Consider the following 14,175-nt stretch of genomic DNA (forward strand, 5'->3'; position numbering starts at 1 on the left):
GGGTACCTCGGATGTGAGGGCGATCTGGCTGCGACATCTGTCACCCCATTGATCGCCAGGGTTGATTCGGCTGATCTGGCTGGCTAGGCGGGTGTCCCCTTCCTCCCTCACCGCTCCATGTGCGTCCCTCCCGAAGCTGCGCGCTCGGTCGAAGAGGACGACCATCCCCGATAGAGGAGGACCGGTCTTCGGTCAAGGGTATACGAGTAGCTGCGCTCCCCTGCTAGAACCTCCAAACAAGCTCTCAAGGTCCATTTGTAGGAGAACGTAGGGTAGTCAAGCTTCCAAGACTCCAGACACATCCAAATGAGGCGCTGCATGTGGCAGTCTGCCTTTCTTTTGACCCATTACCCATCTAAGTTAGATGCTTTTTTAAATGTTTTTTAATTTTTAAATTTTTAATTTTTTTCATTATTTATTTTTTATTTTTGAGACGGATCTCGGCTCACTGTAACCTCCACCTCCCGGGTTCAAGCGATTCTCCTGACTCAGCCTCCCGAGTAGCTGGGATTACAGGCGCGCGCCACCATGCCCGGCTAATTTTTCTATTTTTAGTAAAGACGGGGTTTCGCCATGTTGACCAGGGTGGTCTTGAACTCCTGACGTCAGGTGATCCTCCTGCCTCGTGCTGGGATTGCAGGCGTGAGCCACCGCTCCCGGCCCTTAGATGCTTTTTAATCAGCAAGTACGCAATGCTTTCCTGACAGGAATGTCAAGTCCGTCAGGAAATCCACATAAGGGTGTTAAGCAGGCAAAGTACCACATACAGATTAAAATCAAAAGCACTGTCAACGCTTATTTAATTTATACAGTAGACCCTAACTTTTCTAATTTTGTGTATACATATATATACATGTATACATGTATACAAACATACATATTTTCTTCTTTCTTTCTTCATCTCAGTGGGACATCTTGAGATTTCTCTTCATTTTGTACATTTTAGAGACAAGTGCTCTATAGTCACGGTCTCAAGTCAGCACCTGTTTGGAAGGGGGTCTTTGGAGTTGGGGGTGGTGCTAAAAGAATAATTTGGCTGGCAAGTTAGTTAAAACATTAAAAATATATTAAAACTATCAGGGCTATATTATGGAACAATTGCAAAATTCACATGGATTTCAAAGTTTGAAATATATGCCTTCGAAAATAAATTTTGTTTTTAGAGGCAGCTTCTGCTATTTCTCAGGCTATAGATGTTGTTATTTTCTTCACCCACGGGGGCGCTCGAGAGTACCTTGCTTGACAAGCCTGGGTGCTGAACAATTGCAGCCGCTAACATGATCAGATTTTATTTTCAATAGGTTTCTCTGGCCAAAGTGAGGCGAATGAATTGGGGTAGTAGGGGTAGAGAAAGAAACCTCTTGTGTCTGTGTAAATTAAAGTAGCACCATGAGTTTGAAGAATATGAGTAAGAAAAGGTGAAATACTAAGGAGGTAGGTGGTAAAGCAATTGCTAATCAGATCAAAGGGAAGGGAGGAGGAAGAAAAGTCTAGAATGATGCCCTGTCCAACACACACACACACACACACACACACACACACACACACACACACACACACACACACTTCTTGTCTTTTTTTTAATAACATGTATTGTCATCTAACAGGACTTTTTTATTTATTTGTCTGTAGATTCCTAGAATGTAAATTCCACGAGATCGAGGATTTTTGCGCTTTTGGTTTTCCTTTTGTACATCCTGGTTAGTATAGAGTAGGTATTCAGAGAACACTTGTTGAATGAATGAATGAGCAATGCTTTGGTTTCTAGTTCCATAAAGAGCGGAGAAGGAAGACAAAGTTTGGGGAAAATGGGTTGACTTGTCTTTTGTTGCTATGAACCATCCAGCTGGAAATACCCACTAGACAGTTGAAAAAGCCATTGAGGGCTGGGCGCAGTGGCTCACGCCTGTAATCCCAGCACTTTGAGAGGCTGAGGCGGGCGGATCACCTGAGGTCAGGAGTTCAAGACCAGCGTGGCCAACATGGTGAAACCCTGTTTCCACTAAAAATACAAAATTAGTCGGGCGTGGTGGCCTGTTCCTGTAGTCCCAGCTATTCAGGAGGCTGAGGCGGGAGAATCGCTTGAACCTGGAAGGCGGAGGTTGCAGTGAGCCGTGATCACGCCCCTGCAGTACAAGCTGGGCGAGAAAGTAAGACTCCCTATAAAAAAAAAACCGAAAAGACAAAAACCAACCCAGTGAGGACTCAGTAGAGAGAACTGAAATCGGTTGAATTGGTGGCAAAAGAATGAGCTCATCCAGAGAAGGTATGCAGGGTAAGAAGAGAGGTAAGTCAAGGACCACTGGGCACCCCAAAAGTCAGAAAAGTCGTTTTCAAAAAAGACTTAACAGTGTATATCCAATCATATTTCTAGTTCTGATTTAACAGCAATTACTCAGTTTAACATGAGTAGGAAGCCATATTTTCCAGCCTTGCTGAAAGTGGTCATTCTTTTTTTCTTGCTTTTAGTTTATAATTAAGGAAGGTTTATTGAACATCTGTGCTGAGGTCTACTGGATTTACTGAGACATAAAAAATAAATTATAAAATCCAGTTCTTGCCCTCAAGGAGCTTATTTTTTAATTGACAAATAAAATTGTATATTTTTACTGTGTACAACATGATATTTTAAAGTACAGTCATCCCTCAGTATCTGTGGGGGATTGGTTTCAGAACCCCCTCAGCTACCAAAATCAGACCATGCTCCAGTCCCTTATATAAAACGGTGTAGTATTTGCATGTAACTTAACACACATCCTTTGGTTTACTTTAAATCATCTCTAGATTTTTTATGTTAACCTAAATAACAAACAGAAAGAGGCTCTTTAAAAATATTTATTTGGAAATTGAATTTTGCAATAGGAATATGCATGCCATAGTAAATTATGTGTGTATTCAGGGAGGTAAAATAAAACAAAGATTTTTAAAGGACAAAAATGACGATGGCATAATTGTTTTAAAATAAGTATCCTTTGCTGCAAAGATGAATAACAAGGGCAATAATCCCAGTATTTTTTTGTGTAAGACTGCAATGGCCATTGTGGAAGGTTGTGGTTCTTATAGTCTTTTGTGATCGTGTGTTGTTGTTGTTGTTGTTGTTGTTGTTGTTTGTTTGTCTTTTGGAGACAGGGTCTTGCTGTATTGCCCAGGCTGGAATGCAATGGTGCGATCAGGGCTCACTACAGCTTCGAGGCTCAAGTGATCCTCCCACCTCAGCCTCCTGAGTAGCTGAGACTACAGGCGCATGACACTACTGGCTAATTTTTAGTTTTTGTAGAGAAGGGGTCTAACTATGCTGCCCAGGCTGGTCTCAAACTCCTAGGCTCAAGTGATCCTCCCACCTCTGCCTCTTAAAGTGCTGTGATTACAGGCATGTACCTCTGCACCTGGCTTTTGTGATTGCTTTTATTAGACATTTAAGCCAAGCACTTGTCTCCATTTGCTTAGTTCCAACTGGTTGAATTATACCAAATTGCTAATATCTTACTGTTTTTAACCTTCAAAAATGGCAGTTTCAGATGTCCAATCTTATAAAATAGAGGCAACATCATCCTAGAGTTAGGGAAACAGGAGTGTAGGAGAGCCAGGGTGACAGCATTTTAAAATCAACTCCATCTTACAATGAGAACACATAGACACAGGGAGGGGAACAACACACACCAGGGCCAGTCGGGGGGTGGGGGAGTGAGGGGAGGGGGAGCATTAGGACAAATATCTAATACATACCGGGCTTAAAACCTAGATGATGGGTTAATAGGTGCAGCAAACCACCATGGCACACTACACCATGGCACAACTACACGTTGTGCGCTTGTATTCTGGAACTTAAACTAGATTAAAAAACAAAAAAATCAGCTCCATCTTAAGATGTCTACAGCTGAGGAAATAGCTTAATAATACCTGGAAGGACAAATTCCTATGACAGTAGAATGTCCAGATGTTCCAATATTGCATAATGCTAAACACCTTTAAGGTAATTATAGTCATGCTTTCACGTATTTACGCATGAAAATGCCAAGGATACCTTTCTTTAAATTAACAAAGTACTAATTTTTTTCATTCTGTTAGCCCACTCGCACGTAGACATTGCTTAGCTTACCTTTTACAGAGATAAGACCCCTATCGAATAAAAACAAAGAAGAGGCATTCCTCCTCTTGCTTTCTGAGAATGCTCTACTCTGTAACTGAGTAGCTTTCAATAAAATGTTACTTCTCATGGCACTGGGTGACTCGCCTTACATTCCTTCCTGTGCGAGATCCAAGAACCCTCTTTTAGGATCTGGATCAGGACACCTTTTTTGGGTAACACTCAGCCTTGTTCACCTGAAAGTGTAACTAAGGTAGCAGCATGACTGCTATTACACAGGCTTGGGGAGAAATGAAAACTCCTGTTATAATAGTTCTGGCACTCTATGACAGGTACCCCAAAGGCATTTTATTCCTTTGAAGCCCCTGACATCATCAACCTACTTGTTCTTGAAGACCCTTAGAGTTGCCCTCATCCTGAGACAGTCTTACTCATTTTATCTATCTATTCTACCTACCTACCTACCCACCTACCTACCTGATACATTTTCAGAGGCCCTGAGAAGTCTTCTTAGCCTCAACCCTTCACTCATCTGCTCAGTAGTAGGTAAAATTGCTTGCACAGAAGTCAAGAGCTTCAAATCTCAGTTTAAGAGCTTTGTATACTCCCAGAAGAGGGAAACATTTGACTTAAATTCAGCCTTAGCTATAAGCGATTGGTGTAAGACCCTATTCTAACAAGTGGGTTTTCTTATCAGGAAAGATGGTTGAGAGCTTGAAATGGCTTCTTCAGGGTTTCTGAAGGGGCAACATGGGCCCAACGTGATGCCAAAAAGACAAATGCCCATGACTACACAGTAAAGTCACTGTTCTGATGGCGAGAGGCACACTTAGGGATTCACCAATGCAAGTTTGATTGGTAGATCATGTTCCTAGAAAATCCTGTCAAGGAGTCAAAGAATGTTTAGAAAATGAATTTCCTGTGACATTCTTTATGTAGTTCATGAAGTTATGAACTTCTTTTGAAGGTTTATATTGTATATGAGAATGTGCTGTGAAAAGCTAAAAGACATACAAGGCAGGTTAAAATGATGAAATCAGGAACAAGAAACTGTTTCCACCTGCTTTTGCTTTTTTTTTTTTTTTTTTTTTTTTTTTGAGACAGGGCCTCACTCTGTTGCCCAGGCTGGGGTGGAGGGGGGTGATCTGGGCTCACTATAACCTCTGTCTCCTGGGCTCAAGTGATTCCCCTGCCTCAGCCCCCCAAGTAACTGGGACCACAGGTGCACACCACCACATCCGGCTAAATTTTGTAATTTTGGTAGAGACAGGTCTTGCCATGTTGCCCAGGCTGGTCTCGAACTCCTAGGTTCCAGGGATCCTCACGCCTCCACCTCCCAGAGTGCCGGGATTACAGGTATGAGCCACCACTCCCAGACGCCTAACTTTCTAAAAGCTGAACTTTAACAAAACCTCCACATTGCAGGATAACTCTTCATTCTGCTGCTCTAAGTGCATGCATCTAATTTCATAGCAGTAGCACGATAGATACTAAGCATTCAGGAGAAGTTAGAAAACATCGAAGTTCCAAATGGACTAACTAAGGACAAAAATTAGAAAATACTAATGGAAGAACATGAAAACAAAAACAGAACACTCAAATCAATTTTTCTTAAACTTCAACTTTATTTGGACCAGGAAATTTTTCCTTACATAAGGTTGACATGTTTTAAACACCTTAGGACAAACTATTTAAAAAGCAACATTTTTTATTTCAGAAGGGTCTTGCTTAAGTGGTTTTCTGAATTCTTCTCGTTATTATGAATATGTGCTTTATAAATAAATATATTGTCGGTTACTCCATTGTAATCAAATCAGCTGACTAATTGCTATCTGTACTGAGTTATCTGAGATCAGAAGACTTGATGCAGGTCATTTAAAATTCACATTAGCACAGTGTCTATGAGAAATTGATAATACAGATTAATGTGATATTTACCTCTAGTTTGTTTTCCTAATGGCTTCCATGAGAAGGTCCTCACAATAAATTATATAACAGTACAGTACATTTGTTTGGAAATCGTAAAAATAATTCTACAAATTAGCTCCATATATTATGTTGCTACAGTATGGTTTAAATGATATAAAATAATTAGTATGTCAAACATCTTCTTATAAACATATTGCTTTTGGTCATACACTGAACTGAAATGTACAGCATAAATTCCTTTTTTTCCTCTCCTGAATGGCACAAAACAATGGCTTGATGGTAGGGAAATGCTACTTCATGAGAAAGCATGGTGCCCATCAACTCCAACAGTACCTGTATTTGCACTCAAAAATAAAATAATTCTTGTGTTGTCTTGATTGTATACAATTTTTGATAACTCCAGAAGATGACACAGTGTTACTTTATTAGATGTATATAGTCCTTTAGGCAAGAGATACATTTAAAAAATTATTTGAAAATCAAGTTTCTTCCTACATAAATCCTATCACACATGGGCTGGGTGAGGGCTTGGTAATTAATGGAATTTTTTTGTAAAATGAACAATCATGTCAAGAGTAGTTTTTATGCAAATGCAGTTTTCCCTACTCTGCTGGCACTACCTGGGGCACATCAATACCCCTACAACGCACCTTCGTCACTGAATTTCTGTCTCATTTCGGCACGAAATGAGAACCAACCCTGTATCATTTCCTGACATCCCAGTAAGCTTTCTGACTGTAAATGAGGTATAGTCCTGATAGGTACAGTTACAGGTATATCATTTCTGTTGGTGTCTTACATTACATTTCATAATTGTATAGTAACAAAAAATAGAGGTAACAAGTAGCATTTTGTTTTCATGTAACAAGAAATGGCTGCAGGTTCTCAGTCAGAACAGAAACAGAGAGACAAAAGAAATGGTTACTATTCCCTTCTATAGTGCATAGGTTTTTTTACACAATTTGTCCTTTACCCATTTCAGAGAAGGGGAGGAAGAGTAATTCACAGCATTTGCTAGTTAAAATTTGTTTTTTCAGTCCTCTAGTTTTCTCAACTGCACATCAGCTACTTGATTTTTTTTATGAATATGTGTTTGGCTTCCCCAGGGAAGTTGCTTGCTGGTAAACAAACGAAAGCATAAAAAGAAAAAAGCGAAGTATTTTCTGAAGTTGGGCCCTATAAAGTATTAGAAAAACAATTTTATAATGTGCAATAATCAGGTAACTAGGTTTTTCAGTTAAAAAATGTAATGACCTTATATAAGCTAGATTACTGAGACTATGGTATTAAACAATCCATTTGCTCCTCTAAGGAATATTTACAATTTAAAACCTGCTTTCCAGCAAGCTGGGCCAGGTTTCACATTAATTTACTTTTCATATATAATACAGAAAATGAAAATAAATATTAACCTTATAGTAAAGGACTCATCTCTGAAAACACATGTTCTGATGCTTTAGATAACGAGTTGAGAATATAATACAGAAATGAATTCAGCTTCAAGTTGTGCTTGCATATATATTTTCTGAAGCTTTGCTGCCAGCTTGTTAACAGGAAAAGACCACCTATCACATCCACATCCATTATGTGCTTTTCTCATGCCCCTAGGGATCATGGTGCTTGGTCAAGTATATATTTGAGTCAAATTCTCCAAAGCATAAATTACTCTCCGATTTTAGGTTAGGGCCCTTTGGAAGCCATGGTTATTTGTTCAGAATGCAACATATTATTAATACACCAAGGCAATAATTTACCAAGTCATTAGGTTGAACCATATGAAAGTGTCTATATTCATTTCACCTATCATTTTAACCTATAAAAATGATCACTTGGCTGGGTGCAGTGGCTCATGCCTGTAATCCCAGTACTTTGGGAGGTGGAGGAGGGTGGATCACGAGGTCAGGAGATCGAGGCCGTCCTGGCTAACACAGTGAAACCCCGTCTCTACTAAAAATACAAAAAATTAGCTGGGCGTGGTGGCGGGCGCCTGTAGTCCCAGTTACTCAGGAGGCTTGAACCTGGGAGGCAGAGGTTGCAGAGAGCTAAGATCGCGCCACTGCACTCCAGCCTGGGTGACAGAGTGAGACTCTGTCTCAAAAAAAAAATAAAAAATAAAAGATTACTTACATATGGTTCAATTTGTCATTATCCTGGAACCAATAGAGAGTAGTTTGAGCCCTAGGAGAATATGAATCAATACACTGTTGAGATTGCATTGCGTTCACTGATGGTGACCTTCCCTCTTGCCTTTAAGGCAACCATAAGTGAGGCAAATGTACCATATAGAGATGGATGAGACTGGACCTTTTGTCTTTTTCTGTCTCCAAACTGACTTTGTCATTTTTGAAACTGCTGTAAACATTCCTCTCAATGGAACAGCCTCTGCCCAACAAATAAAGTTCTCACTCTTGAAAGAAACTACACCAGGGTTAGGAGATCAAATGTGGCATGTGACTGTGACTTTGTAGATGAGTGGAACCTCTGCCATAACTCTTTCTGCTCCCCAAATTGTCCTGAGAATTTGGCTAGGACAGAACATTAGTCATTGACTGCTCCTAGCCAGATCTGGAGAACTGAGCTAGGCACAAAATTCCATCTCAGTTACTATAATCAAAAACCTTCTGCTGCTTTGATACTTAGTTTTTTGGCCATGCATCTTGGCAGGAATGTAAGTTTGATTGACTGTGTTAACCTTCATGTTGAGAGCCTTTTGAAGCAGAAATCTCTTTTATTGGTACACATACAACTTGATTTCAAAAATGGAATAAATTAGAATATAATGGCATAGTATAATTAAGCTTGGTTTCATCTGAGATCTGCAACCACATTAAAGGGTGTCAGAAAAATTTTTTAAAATGTATTTACTTAGAGTTCTTTCATCTGGGGAACAAAAGTAAAACAAAGTGAATTATATAATATAATAGTCCTTTTAGAACAGCAGAGTGGTATCCAAAAATCAAACCAATGACCTACTAAGAAAAGCAGAGGATCACTTTTCTAACAACAGTCCAAGAAGGCCTGAAGTACCTAGTGAGCCACACTTGAAATTTCACCACTTCATAAATATCTGCACACACTGAGTAAATAACCCTCTATCACATAGCCTTAAATTGCACCCCTGTTGCAATACTGCATTAATATTATTACATTTTTCAAAATCTGTAGAAAATATTATCTGGAACCCCAAAGGAAAATCAATTAATTTTTAAAAAGTTCATTACAAAGTTGACTGTATAAAATGCTAAAACATAATCCATATATACAAAATGCTGTTGTTTAAGAAAATAATGGGACCCAGTTTTAGAATAAAATAATTTTATACAAAAAAGCCTACTGCATTCAAATCAATATTTTAAAAAAAAACTTTAAAAAAGAATATTGACATGTCTTAGTTCAGAAGAATAACTATAAAGTGTTGATTTGCTTTTATGCCCTCTGCACATCTTGCAGGTAGAACACCAGTCAGCTGAGGGAAAGTATCCTGCTTCTCCCTAGGAAGAGATTCATCACCAAGGCAGACAGTCATCGCCGAGATGCGTACTTGGAAGCCCAGTCTGTCCGGCCATGCACTGGCTGGGCGGCTGGAGGCCGTGGTATCAACCCAGGAGTGCTTCTAGGCTGGGTGTGGAAGAATGGTCGCCCAGGATGAGGTCTCATGGCCTTCAGGGAGGAATAACCTGCAATGAAAGAAAAAGGCCGGCATGACTGATATGGGGCCAATGTAAGCAAAGTACAAATAAATGCATTTTGGTGACAAAAACATGAGAAAATAAGGAGTTCAAGAGGAGCATCTTGTCTCCTACTTATAATCTTCTCTACTGCAGTTAAAGACATCGTTTTAAAGTTGTCAGGCCAAAAATAATGGCATCATTCTTGACCCCTCTTTTTTTCATATACCACATATAATTTGTCAGGATATCCTATTAGTTCTACCTTCCAAATATTTACAGAACCTGGCAACTTTTTACCAACTGAACTACTACCACGCTGGCCCAAGCTAGCATCATTTCTTACCTGGATAATTTCAACATCCTCCTAATTGGATTCCCTGCTTCCTACCTTGCCCCTACTTCAGTCTCATGACAACAGCAGCTTGAGGGAGCCTGTGGAGATGGCTGTCAGATCACCTCACTTATGGACTCAAAGCCCTCCAGGGACTCCACGTCACTCAGAATCCATGACAATGTGCTTACAGGCATCGTATCACCCCTGACCTCATCTTGCTACTCCCCCTCTCACTCCTGTCACTCCCACACTCTGGCCTCCTTGCTGCTCCTTGAATTTGCCAGGCCAGTTCTGCCTGAAAGCTCAAGCACAGAACAATCTCCTGTCTGGAAAAGCCTCACTCATACTGTATGCTTGCTCAATCACCTCCTCCAGGTCTCTACTCAACAACTCCTTTGCAGTGAGCTCTTCTTTAGCTACTCTATCTAAAATTGTAACCTGTACCCCACACTCCAACCCCCACAATCCCTACCTCCTGTCTGCTGTATTTTTCTCCTTAGCACTAAGTCAGTAAGCATCTGACTTACTATATGTTATATAGCACTTATTTAGCTTACTTATTGTCTGTAGAGTGCAAGTTTCATTTATTGGTGGATCCCAGGCCTAAAACATGCCTGGCACAAAGCAGTTGTTGAGTAACCATTTGTTGAGTAAATTCATGAATAATTTAAAATACAACTCACCAGGGGAAGGGTCTGGAATAGGTGCTAGGTGTACCCTCTGCATAGCAGAACCGATTTCTTTTTTCAGAAAGGAAGGGACATAGTTTCCAGTCAGTCCACTAGAACTTGTAGAGCTGGAACCAACTGATTTGCAAAAGCAAAAAGCTCATTATTACAAAGACATGTACCCAGGACACCAACAAGGTTAAATGACAGCACTGCAGAGCAATAACAAACTAAGTTTTTACTTTTAGGGAAAAGAGCAAATCATGATAAAAATGAGTTCAGAGCCAAGCATCCCACCATACTACCCTGTCAGAAAGACTGCGGGGGCCAAAGACAGTGCTGCTCCTGTGAGGGGCAACCAAATAGAGGGTGGGTTGGTTGTGAAATTTTTTTAAAAAAGGGAAATATGACATTTGTTCTTTATTTTCTTTTGTAAAAGTAGATTTAGACTATTCTAAAATTTGCTTTTTTCACTCCATAATATAGAATAGTTATCCTTCCATGTGAGTACATATAAATTCTAGAGTATGGCTAAACCATAATCCATTTAACCATTTTCTTATTGATCAACACACAGGTTATATTAAATTATTTAGCTGTGACAAGTAATTACACACTAAATATTCTTATCCACATCAGAAAAATTAACCATTTTTTACAATGTGAAATACCTTAACTTTTTATGTCATTTCCACTTGGGAGTGCTTTAAGGGCAGGGACTGTATGCTACTCGTCTTGGTATTCTGGGGAGGATAACAGAATGCCTTGCATATAGCAGATAATCAATTAATTTTGGATGGGTGAATGAATATAATTCTTATTATTTAGGCTTAAAGGTACACATGGAATAATGAAGACTGTTATTATTGCCCGTTATAGAAATGGAAATTCTAACCATTAAGAAAAGTCAGTAAGTAGTAGAGTTGCTCTGTTTTCACAACACAGAGCTTTTTCAGCAATTGTTTAAGGCAGAGTGGAAACACAGTCTAGAATGCCTGCGTGAGGAGTTGCGTTGGTCAGCTGGGGTGTATTTTGTACTTTGGTGAATGAAGAAACATGAAGAAAAATGGGAAGAGAATTTGAACAGGTAAGTCACAAAAGAGAAAAAACTTATAGTCAATAAACACAAGAAAAGATGATGAACCTCATTAGTAAATAGGACATGCAAGTTTAAACCACAATAGGATACCATTTCTCACTCATCAGATTAGCACAAATTTTAGTCTTGACAGTACCAAGTGGCATCAAGGATGCAGAGCAACTCCCATATCCCGCTGGAGAGCAAGTAGTTTGGCAATATCTGTGAAGTTGAAGATGAGCACACCCTTTAACCTAAAATGTTGACTCTGGCTGGGCATGGTGGCTCACACTTGTAATCCCAGCACAATGGGAGACCCAGGCGGGTGGATCACCTGAGGTCAGGAGTTCGAGACCAGCCTGGCCAACATGGTGAAACCCTGTTTCTACTAAAAATACAAAAAAAAAAAAAAATTAGCTGGGTGTGGTGGCACATGCCTGTAATCCTAGCTACTTGGGAGGCTGAGGCAGGAGAATTGCTTGAACCAGGGAGGCAGAGGTTGCAGTGAGCCGAGATCATGCCACTGCACTCCAGCCTGGGCAACAGAGCAAGACTGCGTCTTAAAATAAATAAATAAATAAAAATAAATAAATAAAATAAAATAAAATAAAATAAAATGTTGACTCCTAGTTCTCGTACCCAGAGGAATCCTCACACATGTGCATAACAATAGGGGTACAATAATCATCTCAGCACTCTTTCTAATAGCAAAAATTGCAATCAACTTATGTATTTATCAAGAAGAGAAGGCATACATAAATTATGGTCCACATAAATAATAAGTTATGGTGTTGTATAGATATATATTGTATATGTTATATAATATATGATATATATCTCTATAATTGCTACACATATATTTATTAAAATGCATGAAGCAGTGATCCAAGATTATCTTCACATAAATTTTAAAACCTGCAAAACCACACTATGAAGTTTATACAAACCTAAATAAACACTCGATCAGGCTGGCATGGGGGGAGGTAAGGGGAAGCAGGGAGGCGGGAAAGGCACAGACACTGGGCTTCATGTGTATTTGCCAAGTTCAACTTTTTTTTTTTTTTTTGAGACAGAATCTCACTCTATCACCCAGGTTGGAGTGCAGTGGCGCAATCTTGGCTCACTGCAACCTCCGCCTCCCAGGTTCAAGTGATATCCTGCCTCAGCCTCCTGAGTAGCTGGGATTACAGGCCTGCTGCCACCATGCCTGGCTAATTTTTATATTTTAGGTAGAGACAGGGTTTTACCATGTTGGCCAGGCTGGTCTCAAACTCCTGACCTCAAGTGATTCACCTGCCTCAGCCTCAGCCTCCCAAAGTGCTGGGATTACAGGCATGAGCCACCACACCTGGCCAAAGTTTGACTTCTTAAGCTGGGTGATGGCTACACAGGTGTTGCTATATTATCTCTTTCTTTTTTATTTTCCTTAAATTAAACAAACACCTAATGGATGAAGGCAGTGCACTTGGCAGTGCAGAGGGGAAAGCAGCACATGGCAGGGGCTGCCTGCATCAGGGAAAAATGATGCAGGAAACGTCTCTACTGTGAACAGGGTTTGTCAGCCTTGGGACTCAGTAAATTCATTCATCCGTTTAACAAAAAAAGTGGGGAGGGTCTTCCAAACTGTCCACCTTCCAACTAGAAGGGATCTTGATACTCTGGGCCTGCAGCTGGGTCATCAGAAGGAGGGGACAGGCTGGAACAAGGCAGACACAGCCAAGGGTGACTTCCACCTCAAGAGGAGGGTGCCTGCTGCAGCCAGGGCTTTAGCCATCAGGCCTAGTAAGAGTCTGTAAAGGTATTTTTGTTTTTCCCTTGAGCCAGGGATGACTATGCTCTACTCCCCAGCTACCCTGGAAGGCAGACTCCCCTGGGAGCTGGCTGAGTCCCAAGGGACTGCTGCCGAGAAAGAGAGGAGGATAGGGCTGGAAAAGAGGCCTGAGCTTTCAGATGACAAAGGCCCCTGTGCTTCCAAAGCCCGTCCCATGACTCCTTGTGCCCACCTTCCTGCATCCAGGGAATTTGCTTTTTGCCATTTAGGGGTTAATGATCATTACTCACCTGAATTTACTTTGCTGATTACTGACATTGTCCCTGAAGATTTTCCAGACAAGCCAGAACTAGACCATGGATTAGGTGGAATAAATTCCTTGCCTGGATTCGAGAGTATGCCATTTCTTATACTGATCCCTGATAGAGAAGAAATGATTTTAAAATGCAAAATACACAATGAATCTTACACTAGACTACAAAGATAAAATTAATGCAGAACTCAATTTGTCAAAAACTCTCTATGATACAATAATCAAAGCAAAAACTGACTGTGATGATGTCATCTGACAGATGTCCGAGGAAAGATATCTCACTGGTTGGTGGCCCGAGAGAGGCCTCTTATGCTTCTAAGATCC

General features: G+C 40.3%; 1 protein-coding gene and 1 non-coding gene across 10 annotated transcripts in view, besides 1 other annotated feature; one reads left to right on the top strand and one right to left on the bottom strand.

The window, feature by feature from the left end:
* RN7SK (RNA component of 7SK nuclear ribonucleoprotein) lies at positions 10-341 on the top strand. The gene has a single exon (NR_001445.2). It is a non-coding gene; the product is annotated as an RNA component of 7SK nuclear ribonucleoprotein (small nuclear RNA).
* Positions 158-247: a silencer, noted in NCBI's record as "silent region_17287". NCBI's record gives its function as "represses an Ori minimal core promoter by ATAC-STARR-seq in GM12878 lymphoblastoid cells {active_cell/tissue: GM12878}" and the evidence as "EXISTENCE:reporter gene assay evidence [ECO:0000049][PMID:35858748]".
* Positions 5,693-14,175, bottom strand: part of CILK1 (ciliogenesis associated kinase 1) — a 60,522-nt gene continuing 52,039 nt past the window's right edge. For 8 of the 9 annotated variants that reach the window (NM_014920.5, NM_001375397.1, NM_001375400.1 and 5 more), the window contains 3 exons: positions 13,829-13,957; positions 10,705-10,827; positions 5,693-9,693 (listed from right to left, as the gene is read on the bottom strand). In NM_014920.5, coding sequence (NP_055735.1) covers positions 9,539-9,693; positions 10,705-10,827; positions 13,829-13,957 — 407 coding nt within the window. In that variant the 3' untranslated portion in view covers positions 5,693-9,538. Of the gene's footprint in view, positions 9,694-10,704; positions 10,828-11,878; positions 11,990-13,828; positions 13,958-14,175 lie in introns of all 9 variants that reach the window. The other variant, NR_164684.1, reaches the window with a different exon arrangement.

Source organism: Homo sapiens, chromosome 6 (assembly GCF_000001405.40).
Source record: "Homo sapiens chromosome 6, GRCh38.p14 Primary Assembly".
Taxonomy (NCBI): Eukaryota; Metazoa; Chordata; class Mammalia; order Primates; family Hominidae; genus Homo; species Homo sapiens.